General features: G+C 42.2%; 1 protein-coding gene across 7 annotated transcripts in view; it reads left to right on the plus strand.

Annotated features, from left to right (window-relative positions):
* STS (steroid sulfatase) overlaps nucleotides 1-15,478 on the plus strand; it is a 207,352-nt gene that overhangs the window by 157,231 nt on the left and 34,643 nt on the right. For all 7 annotated transcript variants that reach the window (NM_001320750.3, NM_001320751.2, NM_001320752.2 and 4 more), the window contains one exon: nucleotides 526-663. In NM_001320750.3, coding sequence (NP_001307679.1) covers nucleotides 526-663 — 138 coding nt within the window. The remainder of the gene's footprint in view (nucleotides 1-525; nucleotides 664-15,478) is intronic.

The following is a 15,478-nucleotide window of genomic DNA, read 5'->3' on the forward strand; positions in this document are numbered from 1 at the left end:
TGAGGGATAGTTTAGATTTGGGTATCTACTGTAAGTATTAAAAGAGAATATTCTCATAAAATATCTATATACATATTTGTTCACATAAGAGGAACATCACTGGTTTAGTTTTCCCATCCAATAAAGAAAAATGATAGACTTCTTTATAGCCTTAGAGCCAACACCAGCTGGTGAGAACAACCTTTCAGCTTCTTTCTTCTGGCACCTGCCTCCAAGTGGCTCTCCATCAATGAACCTGGTACTTTTAGAATACTTTCTCAGGTCTCCCTGCAGAATCACTTCATGATACCCAGAGGTTCAAATGGTGCTTCTAAATGGCACTCAAGTCAATGAATCTTGGTGTCTATTCTAAGAAGCCAGCCACAGCCAGTCTTGATTGCATCACGTCTCATGCTGGGATAAACTCCAATATGTAAGAACGTTTACTTCCACCTTGAGAAATTAGCCACCCACTGAGTAGGGCAACCATCTCCATTTGCTTTATGAATATGCATTATTTTTAAATGGAGTCTTTTTCCCCTCCAGGGCAGATCTTGAACCTTCTGGATGAGCTGAGATTGGCTAATGATACCCTCATCTACTTCACATCGGACCAGGGAGCACATGTAGAAGAAGTGTCTTCCAAAGGAGAAATTCATGGCGGAAGTAATGGGATCTATAAAGGTGAGAAATGCTGGGATGGAGAAGCTCTGGCCTCTCAGCTCATCCGCTGGTCACTTTTTTCTTGATTTTCGAGCTTTTCCATAGTTCTTCTGCTACTTTGCAATAGGTAGGACTTCCTTGTGTCATGGAGACAGTCAGAAGGCCAAAGTGACCATTTCTGTTCTGGTTCCCACAGAATTTAAAAGCCCACATCTTGTGTCAAGACATTAGAATGAGAGTATGTATCTCCAAATGTAAATGCAGCCTCATATAATGTAACTGATTAAAACAAGAATTCCTCTACACCTATGTGTAGATTTCCTGTCACTACTGTAACAAATTGACACAAACTTATGGGCTTAAAACAAATTTATGAACTTACAGTTCTAGAAGTCAGAAGTTCAAGATGGATATCTCACTGGTCTGAAATTGAGATGTCTGTAGGGCCTTCTACAAGCTCTTGGGGGGAATCTGTTTCCTTGGCTTTTTCAGCTTCTGGGGACTTCCCACTTTCCTTGGCTCATGGCCCCTTCTTCCATGTGGAAAGCTAACAATTCACTGTCTTCAAACCTCCGTGTCTGTGTCCGACCTGTGCTTCCATAATCTCATCTCCTTCACTTACTCTGACACCCCTGCCTCCCTCTTATGAGGACACTTGAGATTACGTTCGGCCCACTTGGATAATCCCACATCATCTTCCCATCTCAAGATCATGAACTTAATCTGCAAAGTGTCTTTTGCCATGGGGTGTAACATATTCACAGGTTACAGGGATTAGGACGAGGGCATCTTTGGGAGACCGTTATTCTGCCTACGTGAACCCACAATAGTATTTTGAGCTAACACTTTTCAAAAATTTTTTTTGCAGCATTAGCTGAGCCACTTTCATGGTGGATTGGGCATCATGCTAGTCATTGGAGATATTTGATGAGACCCAGCTACTGGCTTGTATAGTGTATGCTCTGCCAATATAAGATAGACATATATATTGTCTAATATATACATTTAGACATATCTTATGTACTTATACATAGCTAATATTTAATGTCTATATACATTAGACATATCTAATGTCTATCTTATATGACAGACATTACATGACACACAACGTGGCCCATTTCATAAAGTGATATGATACCTAAAAGGGTGTATTTGTGCTAAGGGTTAGGACTCCCCAGCCAAATCTGCAGTGGATATGGGTTGAAGGTACAAGAAGAGATGACGCCTTAACCAAAAGGGGAGGGTGAATCACAGTTTACCTGCAAAGATATGAAAGGATGATATAGGGAATGCTTTTATCTATCAATTTGTTTAGAAATATTGATTATCTTCTGTGTGTCTTGCATTGGGCCAGACACAACAGTAAATATATAACATGGTGTCTTCCCTGAAGGAAGTCATGTTGAACTGGTAGGTGGGTGGGTAGATGATGACGTGAAGCCTGGGAAGACCCAGTACAATTTGACAAGGGCGCTAACACTTGCATGCACAAGATACTAATGGCACAAGGGGAAAGAGAGCCTCACTTGGCTGAGGGGTTCCCAGGAATGTTTGCAAAGGAGACACGGCTAGAAAGGAGGTCACCAGTGGGTCTGTGCCTCTGCTTTCTTTCCCCTTCTGTCTCTTTCTGCTCTTCCAACCCCTTGCTCTCTTTTGTCATGCTGGAAAGAAGGAGAAGCAGCAAATAGCTTGTTCTGCAAACTGCAAGGAGCTCAGTAAGGCCAGATTACACCATACCTGAGGCAAAGAGAAATAGTCCTCTGTAGTCTATCCCTGCAGCATAAGGCTGCAGGTAGCTTATGAAGCCTTATGCTTCTAGTTACGTCTCTGTGTGCACATCTGGAGCCCTATGACCGGCTGAGCACCCATGGGCAGGAACCGTCTCCTACACCTTTTGTTACCTGGCACCTAGCACAAAAAGATGCCTGTTAGGTGCATCTGGACAACCTTCATAGGCTGCTCAGACCTCCTCCCAGCCCCTTCCTTTAGGTCTCATTGTTACCTTGCTCAATGCAGGACACATAATCAATATGTAATGTGGGTTTGATTAATGAACCGGTGTGTTTAATCTGAACAGGATTAACCCCAGTAGGCTATCACTCTTTCAGCCCTTCTCTGTGTGCCATGTTACTTTAAAAGTAGTAAAAAGTGGAAACATGTATTCCTAATATATGAAGACTTGGTATTACCGGGCTGAACTGGGGTCCACTCACCCAGCGCAGTAAGGCCAAACATCCACACCGAGGTTTTGCAGTGGGAGAAAGGAGGGTGTTTATTTGCAGGGTTCCAAGCAAGTAGAATGAGGCCTCTCTCACTTAAGATTCCACTTCCCCAATGGTTTGCAAGCAAAGGTTTTTAAAGCCTGGGAGGCAGAGGCTACAGGCAAAGTCATAAGTCTATACATGGAGATTATACATTGGTTTGACCTAAAAAGGCAGGACATCCCAAAGAAGGGCGCCCACAGGTTATAGGTGGCTTCAAAGATTCCCTGATTTGCGATTGGTTTAGGAAGTGAAGCTTTGTCTGAAAATTTGGGGTCAGCAAAAACAAACATGATATCTGGCCTGTGGGCGTGGCTTCCTCCAGGCCCCTTGGGAAGAAATTTGGAACAAAGAATGTCAGTCAGAGTTCAGTCCTCAGTTCCTCTTTACCTGGAGCCTAGGTGCCAGCAGATGGCATTTTCCATTTGGAAGGGGTCCACTTTCTGAAAAACAACTATGGGACATATGTTAAAGTGTTATCTGTAGTTATTACAGGGAACCAAACATTTTATGGCTCTAACTTCCTTGTCTATTATTTTACTCTATGATTACCTTCTTGCTTATCAGTTGCTCATTTACTTTTCAAAGCTAGCTAGGTGCCTGGAATTTTCTTTGAAGGAACTCAAGATTTTTCCTTATTTCCCTGCCTGGGGGAGTCCAGCAGGCCCCTAAGAGGGGTCCCTGCTCCATCTCATTGGTGTTTCAGTCTTATTTTCACAAGGCTATAACCTGTGTGGATAGAGTTGTTTTTATTTCATTTTGTAGATGCCAGTGTCCCTAAAGACTGGAGTTCCAGGCTGCATTCCACGCTCTAGTTCATCCATTCATTCATTCTCTCTCTTAGTGCCTGTTCAGTTCCAAAATAGCTTAGCAGCTGCCGAGGAGGAGACGTGTACATCAATCACAATTCTAGAAGTGGTTGGAGAGTAATAGTTACTTAAGAAAGTTACCTATGGAAGGCTATAGAGCCCCAGGGCAGGGAGAGGGGACCCCTGACTGACAATCCCGGGGAAGTTTCATGGGACAGAGAAGGAGCTGCATCACGTTTTGCACAGATAGTTCACCAGGGTTCAGAGACACGAGAGGTATAGATCAGAAAGGGAGCCTCAATGGTCTTGAATAATGGTTGGGAACCCCAGTTTTATCATACAACCCTGCAAGCATGTCAGGAGCTACTCCATAAATTTCTTTTTTTTTTAAAGAAATGTATTTGATGTATTAGAAATGTTTTGCTTGCATGCTGGAGAGACCATGAATGTGTAACATGATTAATGTCTCAGCCACCGCTCTATTGCAAAGTATTATCCTTTTGTCAACTTATTTGAAATCAAGTTCACAGTGAAACACTGTTAAAATACAATGCCCTAAAAGGAAGATGGGGTTTCCTTCTAGTTATGGGAAGTAGGCTTCTGAGTGTCAAGTGTCAAGATATCTTGTTCTCTAGAGCTGCAAACTCGAACACATACCTGTGGTTTACGCAGACACAGAGAAATCATAGGATTTAACACCCTGTTTAAAATAGCATCCTTTCTAAACAATGATGACTTCTACTGTCCATCAAAACCCTTCAAAGGACTTTGCTATTTGAACTTTTTTTTTTCCTTTTGAGAGAATCTCGCTCTGCCACCCAGGCTACAGTGCAGCGGAGCCATCTCGGTATTTGAACTTAATGATTCTACTGTATTCCCAAGTCAAATCTGTTTCCCTGGTGAAATCTATGGGCTTCATCAATGACAGAGTGGATAAAGAAAATGTGGTATATATACACCATGGAATACTGTGAAGCCATAAAAAAGAATGAGATCATGTCTTTTGTAACTTGGATGGAGCTGGAGGCTATTATCCTTCGCAAACTAATAATGCAGGAACAGAAAATCAAATACCACATGTTCTCACTTATAAGTGAGAGCTAAATGATGAGAACTTATGAACACATAAAAGGAAACAACAGAGACTGGGGTCTATTTGAGAGGGGAGGGTGGGAGGAGGGAAAGGAGCAGGAAAGATCACTATTGGGTACTAGGCTTAATACCTGTGTGATTAAATAATTTGTACACCAAACCCCCATGACATGAGTTTACCTATGTAACAAACCAACCTTCACGTGAATCCTCAAACCTAAAATAAGTTAAACATAAATAAATAAATAAAATAAAATATACCAGACTTCTTGTTAAAAAAAAAATCTATGGGCTAAATTTGGTAGAATGGCTAGGATTAAATCATCCTTCCATTAAATTCAATAGGTTATTCCTTTTAATAAGAGGTACATTACATGTCTGCTGCAGTCTACATTTAAAAAACAATTATCTAATATTCCAGGGGTGAGGGAGTAATAATAGGACTGTTTCATTTCTTTAAGGAAATGACTTTGCAGTATGATTATTCTGTTTAGGTTTGGATATGGGTAAATTTTGTCTTTGTCAAAATGTTCTAGCATAAAGGGAAATTGGGAAATAAGGGTAGGGTCAAATGTATACTTTGGATATAATTCTGGTCAAAGTTTAGAAATCTTGGCAGTAAGTCCTTTATACAGTAGTTCCTAAAATATTTCCCTCTGAGACCCTTCTAAAATAAATTTTCTTCTATTGTCCACATGCTTTGAATGATTGTGTCAACCTAATAAAACCAATTTTCTAAGGAATAATTTATCTTCCCATTTAATAATTAAGAAATCATTATCTCCATTAGGGCTTCCACTTAATTTGACTGTGTTCCATACCATGTGATTATGATTTTCATAGACAGCAAGATAAATAAGTAAACCACTGAACATCCCATAGCCTGTGACCCTTTGTAGCTGTTAAATGTAAAATTTTCCATCAGGGCTGTTGACATTTGAAAATGTTCACATTGCTTCTTTGGGACCTTAGGAGTAGAAACCATTGCTTGAAACTAATAGAGGATTTAAGATTTCTATGCAATCCTTAACTCTTTCTAGGAAATTTAGTTTATGGCTCTCAATTTATGTTCCTACACCCTGGACAGGTATTGGATCTATTTGGATCAGCCTGGTGGGTGAGTCTTGAGAAGACGCTTCATTCTGCACTTGTATCTGTGTCAAGGCAGTAGAACAGAAAGGAGTTCAAGCTGAGAGTCCTGCAAATTGCAGTTCTCTTATTGAAGGAGCAAGTGGCCCCACCCCTAGCTTCACTTTTCTAAATCAGGGTTCAAAGCCTTTGAGCCTCTCTTTGCATGAGGAGTTGCAAACAAATTCATGGAAGTTTCTTCTCAACCTTCACTGCAGCTGCTTCTCACCTGATCCACCTCTCAATGTTGAAGACCTCCAGGGCTCTGTCCTGGGCCCCCTTCCCTTTATCTTCACACTTGCCCTATCTGATGTCATCCAAATCCAGGACGTCATATGACATCCAACTGCAGGGCATCCCACATACAGAGCCGGGACCCTGCTGTGGAGGTCCACATTGCTATGTTCAGCTGCCCACTTGCCACATGACCTGGAAGCTCAGTAGGCATGTCATCTCGGAAAGATGCAAGCTAGACATCAAATGCAAGCTAGCCCAAGCCCACACATGCCCAAATCTGCATGATCTTATTGAATGCTTTACCCCGTGACTGAACCTCAGTGCTACGATATTTGCTGGTTGATGGGCTTGTTTTATTTTGCCTCTCTTTAACCCCTATGTATCCCATATTTTGGAATCACATCCTATTCACTTTATTTTCTAAGTTTATCTGACATTGGTCATCTTTTGTCAGCTGTATCAATTTTCCATCTTGTCCAGGCCACTGTGGTCTGCCCTTTGGACTTCTCCAGTGTGCTTCTTGGTGGTCTCCCTAATTCTTTGTTCTCACACTCCGTTCTCTACCCAGACACTGGAGTGAGCTTTCGTAAACATAGTGTCAATGTACTCTATTGAATTTCTGAGGACTGACATAACTGTTAGCACCACAAACTGGGTGACTTAAAAACAGCAGAAAGTTGTTTTCTCTCAGTTCTGGGGGCCAGGAGTCTGAAAGCAAGCTGCTGGAAGTGGTGGGCTCCCTACGAAACCTCTAGGGGAGAATCCTTTGTTGTTCTGCCATTAATTCTTAACCTTCCTTGACTTGTAGATGTGTCACTCCAATCTCTGCCTCCACCTTCACATGGCTTTTTTCCTTTCTTCAAACACTCTAATATCAACCAGCCATGGTGGCTCACACCTGTAATCCCAGCACTTTGGGAGGCTGAGATGGGAGGATCACTTGAGCTCAGGAGTCGGAGCCCAGCCTGGGCAACATAGTGAGACCTTGTCTCTACAAAAAACATGTAAAAATTAGCTGGCTGTTGTGTTGCACACCTGTAGTCCAAGCTACTGAGGAGGCTAGGGTGGGAGGATCACTTGAGCCCAGGAGTTTGAATCTGCAGTGAGCTATGATTGCACCACTGCACTCCAGGCTGGTCAACAGAGGGAGACCACTGTCTCTACAAAAAAACAGTTTAAAAAACAAAATTAACCAGGGGTGGTGGTACACATCTGGAGTCCTAGCTACTCAGGAGGCTGAGGTAAGAGGATCGCTTGAGCCCAGGAAGTCGAGGCTGCAGTGAGCTATGATTGCACCACTACACTCCAGCCTGGGCAACAGAGCAAGACCCTGTCTCAAACAAACAAACAAACAAACAGAACAAAAAACCACTCCAATATCTTCTCATCCACTGAAAATACAATGTGAAGTCTGCACCCCAGCTGTACAGTTTTCTCCTCCTCTCTTCCTGGCTTTTCCTGGGTCCCCCAACCCCTTCATCTTGTTCCCACCTCAGAGTCTTTGTGTTAGAAACTCATCCTTCCATCTCATCTTTGGATGGATTTTATCTTTCACTCATATGTTGCCTTTGTAAGGTCTCCCTGGACCACCAAATCAAAAGTCCTTGTCTCTCCCACCACTTTATTCTAATTGCTCGCATCTCTGATAACTTACCTGTTTATTATTTTATTTGCTCATAGTCCTTCTCCCATGGAAGCTGGAATCTGGGCTGCCTCATTTACCACTGTGTCCTAGTGCCTTGAGTAACCATGGAGTAGGCATTCAATAAGAACTTACTGAATGAGTAGGGATATGGTTTGGCTGTGTCCCCATCAAAATCTCATCTTGAATTGTAGCTCCCATAATCCCCACATGTCATGGGAGGCACCTGGTCAGAGGTAATTGAATCATGGGGGCGGGTCTTTCCTGTGCTGTTCTCGTGATAATGAATAAGTCTCATGAGATCTGATGGTTTTATAAAGGGCAGTTCCCCTTCACACACTCTCTTGCCTGATGCCATGTAAGACATGCCTTTGCTTCTCCCTCACCTCCCGCCATGATTTTGAGGCCCCCTAGCCATGTGGAACTGTGAGTCCATTAAAACTTGTTCTTTATAAATTACCTAGTCTCAGATATTTCTTCATAGAAGTATGAAAATGGACTAATACAAATAGTGAACACTTCTCAGATTTCTCTTCCTTCTGTCTCCTTCTCTCCCTATTTCTTCCCTTTCTCCTAAAATATCCCTTAGATGGGACCAGAATAACTTCCTTAAGATTTTCTTTTAGTTGAGTTTAGAGTTGTTTGCCTTTTCCTCATACTACAAGATTTCCTTATTCTCAGAACAGAACAGTTAAACTCATATGTCTGGCTTCATTTCCATCCCTCTCCCAAGTCAAGGTCACCCTGAAGGAGGCTCTTCCTCCCTCCCTTTTTCTCTGCCTACAGGCAAGTAATAAATGTCAATGGAATGGATAAATTAACTCTATAGATGGCTTCTGCAGAAGTGTGGGGGTGGGGGATCATATTTTCCAGAGTGTTCAAGAATATATACTTTTTTTTCATGTGCAGAGAAATGCTTTTAAAATTCCCTGATGGCTGCATGGAAGGCACTGCTCTTCAGGCATTTTTTCCTTACCTTAAGGCCAAATTCCAAACACGTGGCTTGAGTCCATGTCACTTATGAGTTGCTTCTTACAGTCACTGATTTTGACATCTCTTCCTGTCATTCAATAACACAGCTTTCTGAGAGCAATTGATACTTTTATTGTGAGAGAAAAATAGTAGCAACTGACTCTGGTAGATTATTACAAGGTAGTTATGTTCAAATGATGTTGGCAAACATTGTCATTGGCTTCCCAAGAGTAGGCAAAGCTGCCTCTTCATGCTAGTGTCAGTATTTAGTCCTCCAGCAGGTATCCACAGCCTTTTAACCTTTGAAAGATCACATCAGTCTCATTTATGTGTTCATGCATTTGGTTTAATTTTACTGGCATGCATTTATATATTGATTCTATAGAACATGCCAGGCACAGGGCTAGCTGATAGGGTATAAAGGCAAAGAATAAAGGGTCTCCGACTGCTACTAATTTACATTCTACTAGAAGCTAGTAGCTTAAATTCTACTAAAAGACAGAATGCCTCTAAATTCTACTAGTTTTTAGGATAGATATATAAGAGACCACTTCAGTGTAATGTACTGGTAAGGGAACTGTTAAAGAATGGTAAAGGCAGTTAGCCCAACTTGGGAATTCAGAGAACCTTCCAGGAGGAGCTGACATTTTGCAGGTTGACGTTTTGCATTGTTGGCTAGGAGAGGACAGGTGGGAAGTACACAGTAGGCAGGTGTGAAATACTTATGGGGAGCGAAAAAGCAGCTCAGTATTTCTAGGGATGAAAATGTAGCTGGGCGCAGTGGCTTATACCTGTAATTTCATCACTTTGGGAGGCCAAGGCAGAAGGATCGCTTGAGCCCAGGAGTTCGAGACCAGTCTGGGCAGCATAGTTAGACCCCATCTCTAAAAAACAGATTTAAAAATTAGTCAGATGTGATGGCATGTGCTTGCAGTCCAGCTACTCCAGAGGCTTGAGATGGGAGGATCAGTGGAGCCTGGGAGGTGGAGGCTGCAGTGAGACTTGATTGCACCACTGCACTCCAGCCTGGGTAACAAAGTGAGATCCTGTCTCAAAAAAAAAGTGTGAGCAAGGACTGACAGTGTCAGGTGATGGAGACTTGGTATCATGTCCGGGCATTGAGCTCTGCCTTGTGGGTTATCTGAGCTGGGAGTAGGGACCAGACAGATGGGTTAACATTAGTGAACACCCTGAAAATGGAAGGGCCATTTGGAATGATTGGGACTGTCCACTTTAGCAGAAAATGCAACTGCTGGATCACCACTGTCTCAGGCATTGCCGTAGGCAGAGTGATTTGATTGCATTGGCTTCAGTTGACAAAATGTATGACCTTAATACTACACAGTTAAATGTGGCAGAGCTTGCACCTGTTGTTGAAAAAGTCACATGGACAGGCAGGAGATTGTGATCCCGTAATGGGAGGCTTGAATTTCTCACTTTTGAGATGGGCAAGATTGAAGTTGTGTGGTCAAGCGTGCTCTGCAGGAGAGAAAGGTTGGGATTCCGGGACAGCAAAGAGGTGGGAAAGTGAGAAGGATGTGGCCACGGTGGGTAACTGGGCTCTGTGAGGGCAGGGAGTGGGCATAGCTCATGCTTATGGGCTCATTTTCTTTGATGACATGCAGGGAGAGTTTCTCTTTTGATAGTCAAAGGTCAAGCTGTTTAGTATATGACTGGTGGAGAAAATTTTAGGAATGCAATGTATTAGGGAAATGAAACATTTAGCAAAATAGAGACCAGAAGAGGTTAGACATAGGAATTTGTAATCACATTCACCTATAGGCTTCTGTTTTTTTCCCACAGTAATACGCTTCATTGATTAATTCATTATTTCATTTATTTCACAAAATATATTGAGTACCATCTATTTGGAAGGGATTTCACTATTACTTTAGTTGATTTAACAGTGCATTAGACAGTTTGTTCTCAAATACTGTTGATACTGTTGGAATGAGACATGCATAGAATTGGTTGTCATATGTCCCATAAACTTGAACTTGAAAAATACTGTGGAAATTGAAAGTTGAAAAATAATATGTGATCATAGAAGGCTTAATGAAATCGGAGAGGCTTGTTATCTAGGCTTTTAAGGAGCTTTGTAAATGATTTGGGTGTGGGGGCTGTATTAGTCAGGGTTCTCTGGAGGAACAGGACTAATAGGATAGATGTCTATATGAAAGGGAGTTTATTAGGAGAATTGACTCACACAATCACAAGGTGAAGTCCCACAATGGGCTGTCTGCAAGCTGAGGAGCCAGAAAGCCAGTCCGAGTTCCAAAACCTCAAAAGTAGGGAAGCTGATGATAGTGCAGCCTTTGGTCTGTGGTCGAAGGTCCGAGAGCCCCTGGCAAATCACTGGTGTAAGCCCAGGAATCCAAAACCTGAAGAACTTGGAGTCTGATATTCAAGGACAGGAAGCATCCAGCATGGGAGAAAGATGTAGGCTGGAAGACTCAGCCAGTCTAGTCCTTCCACGTTCTTCTGCCTGCTTTATCCTAGCTACATGGGCAGCTGATGAGATGGTGCCCACCCAGATTGAGGGTGGGTCTGCCTCTCCCAGCCCACTGACTCAAATGTTAATCTCTTTTGGCAACACCTTCACAGACACAGCCAGGAACAATACTTTACATCCTTCAATCCAATCAAGTTGACACTCAATATTAACCATCCCAGGGTCAAATCCTAGCAGAGCAACCATCAAGAGGGAGCAGCAGAACTTTCCGGAGAGCAGAGGATGAGCTGTTGACCAGGACATTTTCGTGGGACTCAGCTCAACCAAGGTGTGATGTTGGAAAGGTGGACCCCAGTCAGGACATGGTTAGCTTCGCATTCCAGAGTAAGATGTATTTTTTAGTTTTTCATTCTTGCAGACAATATTAAGTATGAGTTCAATTAAGTGACAAGAAAAATGTTAGTAGAAGTTGCTGTGACACTTCCCCCCGATGCTGAAGGATTTAATATTATGGAGTAAGGTCCAAGTTGGTGTGCTCACCCCACCCCAAAAAATCAAAATTTAGTAAATTAGAACAGGACTGGCCTAGCTGTAGCATGTGGGCCTAATGCAAACCAGCCCTTGATTTTCTAAATAAAGTTTTATTGAAACCCAGCTGTGCTCATTTGTGGATGTCTCATTCCTGGCTGCTTCTTAATTACAACAGCAGAGTTGAGTAGTTGAGAAAGCCACCCAAAGAGCCTGAAATATTTACTACCTGGCTCTTTAGAGAAAAAGTTTGCCAACCCTTGACTTAGATTCCTTAGCAGTTGGATGTATTGCTTGATGAGTCATTCTTAATCATTTGACCTGTGTCAATTAATTTTAAGGATATTCTTCAATTCTTGACATGTTATTTAGGAACTGATATCACCAGGTTCCTTATTTTTGCCTTCATAATAGATGGGTAATACGTTGGTGGAACCTGAAAAATATTGTTATATTTCCCATCTGCAATTCATGGGTTTTAGTCTTTGGCATGAATAAATCAAGGAGAGTATAAAATGTAGCATCTTGGGTGAGAAAACATTTCCCGTGAATTATCATCACACACTTCAACGGGGTTTGCCTCAATTCAGAGAATTAGTGTTATCTCAGATGGGAAGATTTGAGGAGAAAAATGAAAAACAATATTTCATAAAACTCTGCCCAGATCAAGCATAAGAATGACTAGCATATGCTCTTGCCATTAAAAGTGATTTGACCTGCTGTGTGGTAGCATTCAGAAGGACAAAAATAGAAGCCTGGTTTGCAAACAGCTGTTTCTAACAAGAGTCTTTGAGTAAATTGTAGAAGAATCCTCGCTACGCTTGCCTAGAGAGATTGAGTAACTCAGCCATCATCCTTCTGTGATGAGAACATCATCACAACATGCCATCAAGATGTTAAAACTGTGAATTGGACAATTACTCTACAAAAAGTTAAACTTAGACCATGGCTTTTTCTCTGCTCATAAATTTTCAGAAAAAATAGTTCATACTCCTTCACCTGTTTTTTTTTTTCTTTCCCCCATATCCCATTCTCCAACTTTCCTAAGTTTATTTCTCCTTCAAAACCCAAGTCAAAATCTATTGGCACAGGGCAGGTTTGCCCAGGTAAAAGACATTTCTTTTTATTTTGGTTGGTGTTTAATCAGAGTTATCTGTGGGCATATCTTTTGGTTTGTTTGTTTGTTTGTTTGTTTGTTTGTTTAAGGCAGCGTTTCACTTTGTCACCCAGGCTAGGGTGCAGTGGCGTGATCACAGCTCACTATGGCCTCAACCTCCCAGGCTTACCCAATCCTCCTGCCTCAGCCTCCCATGTAGCTGGGACTAGAGGCATGCACCACCATGCTTGGCTTTTTTATTTCTTATTTTTTGTAGACTGGGTCTCACTGTGTTGCCCAGCCTGGTCTCAAACCCCGACCTCAAGTGATCCTCCTACCTCAGTCTCCCAAAGTGTTGGGATTACAGGTGTGAGCCACTGTGCCTGGCCTGTGGATATATCTGAGCTGTCTTTTGAGACCTTTAATTTCTGTAGGGCAAGGTCCCTCTTCACTGTGTTCTCTCTGGGATTCTGTTGGCATACAATCAGAGTTCTCAGTGGGTATTATCTGAGCTATCTTTTGAGGCTGTGAGTTTCTGTAGGGCGTAATCTCCATTGTATATCTTTGTGTCCCATTTGGGGATGTGAAAATCAGTAAAGCCTAGCATTTGGCAGGACAGGTTCTAGAACTATACCTAATACCATCAATTACTGGCTGTGTAACCTTTGCCAAAGTTTTCTTGGCTGTGAAATGGGTTACTTGCCTTGCAGAGTCATGGTGAGAATCAAGAGTTAATAAAGTCACGAGTTTGAATGGTTTGGGGAACATGTGAAACTCCATCATTAGTCCTGATCATAGCAAGTCATTGCTTATTAAATGTCTGCTGAATGAATGAAGCATCCCGTGTCCACCCTCTGAGTTCCTCTAAACTCTGCTCGATGATAATGTGAGTGGTGCCCGGGAGAGCAGATTTCGGTGCTTTTTCAGCCTGACAGACACATTTGGCGCATCTCGCTTTCCACACAATATCGCAGGAGGAAGGAGACTCAAAGCTACACCATCTGACAAGCAAGGGCACTTGCTCATCAACACATGCCTGCAAATGTGTGATCATGCTTCCTCCAACATGTTTTTCCATAGGCAGTGTGTGCTCGGATGTGTTTATCATCTGTTAAAAAAATTTTAAAACATTTTTTTGCCATGACTGTTGTAAAAACTCTCCCTTTATAGCTTTAGAAAATTGCACAAGATTATGTTTATGGATACATTTCTTTAGGACCTGAATATAGACTCAGAACTATTAATACAAGATGGGAATCTCGTGATGTTCCACATAGTGGGTTCAGAGCTTCCAACAGAGCGTTTCTCGGGTGTGACAATTTGTTAACACTAGCTGCAGATGAAACCATGCCTGGTGCTACCATTCAGGTGGTCAGTAGGTGGCTAGATCTAGGGGCTACAGGCACAGCTGCCCCCATAGTCCAGTGCCTGCAATAGAGGTGCTCTGTGCATCTTACCTGAGCAGGGGTAAGCTACTTCTTTGCACCCAAGCAGAAGTATTGCCACCAGGTGGCCATTTGTGGCTTGGAGCTCCTTTGGGAATCTGGAATCTCTGGCAGGCTGTGATATTTCCAGGGCCTCTGCAGGAGATTTGTTTTATTTTGCTTTGTTTTCAAAGTGGTTATACATCAAGCCATGTTCTCATAAGATGTCTCTTCCATCACCTGGAGTTCTGGGATATTAGCAAATTCCTCAGAGGGGAATAGATCACTGGCACTTGGGTTGTAAAATACACAGACATTGGATGTGCCTGTGGATTTTTGTGAAACTATGTGCTTTGTTTTCTGTTTTTTAAGACATGACGTCTCTCTCTGTCACCCAGGCTGGAGTGCAGGGACACAATCATAGCTCACTGCAGCCTCAAACTCCCAGTTTCAAGCAGTCCTCCCCCCTGAGTAGCTGGGACTACAGGTGTGTGCCACCACACCTGGCTATTTTTTTAATTATTATTAATATTTTTTTGTAGAGATGGCATCTCACCATGGTGCCAAGACTGGTCTTGAACTCCTGGTCTCAAGCATCTCACCTGCCTAGGCCTCTCAAAGTGCTGGAATTACAGACATGAGCCACTGCACCCAGCCACTATCTGCTGTTTAAGGGCCATGTTTTTCAGCCACTCTGTCAAGTGGCTCTACAGCCAGGTGCATCCCTTGGCTTCCCCTGGTGAGCCCCTAGTAAACCATCCTCAGACATTGCCTTTCACCCTAAAGATGATGTACAGATCAACTCCTGGGAGGGTACGAAATTCGCTCGGTGCCTCAGTCCTTAATTCTACTGTTCACATGTATCTTTCTGAGTTTCTACATAGGGTGTAGAAACTAAATGTGGTTTACAAATATGGTGTGATCCTCTTCTTTCAGGACATAGACAACTTGGCACCAGTGCTCTTGCTGCAAAGATAAAGTGATATTGGAGAACTGTTTAAATTCACAGGCTTTGGAGTCAGTCAGACAAACCTGGATTTCTATCTGTAACTCTACCGCTTACTAAATAAGTGACAGTCAGCACATAACTGAAGTTCTCTCAGCCTCAGATTGTGCAACTATTTTATATATATATATTTTTATATGTATATTTATATATATATTTTATATATATGTATATATATTTATATATATA

Source organism: Homo sapiens, chromosome X (assembly GCF_000001405.40).
Source record: "Homo sapiens chromosome X, GRCh38.p14 Primary Assembly".
Classification (NCBI taxonomy): Eukaryota; Metazoa; Chordata; class Mammalia; order Primates; family Hominidae; genus Homo; species Homo sapiens.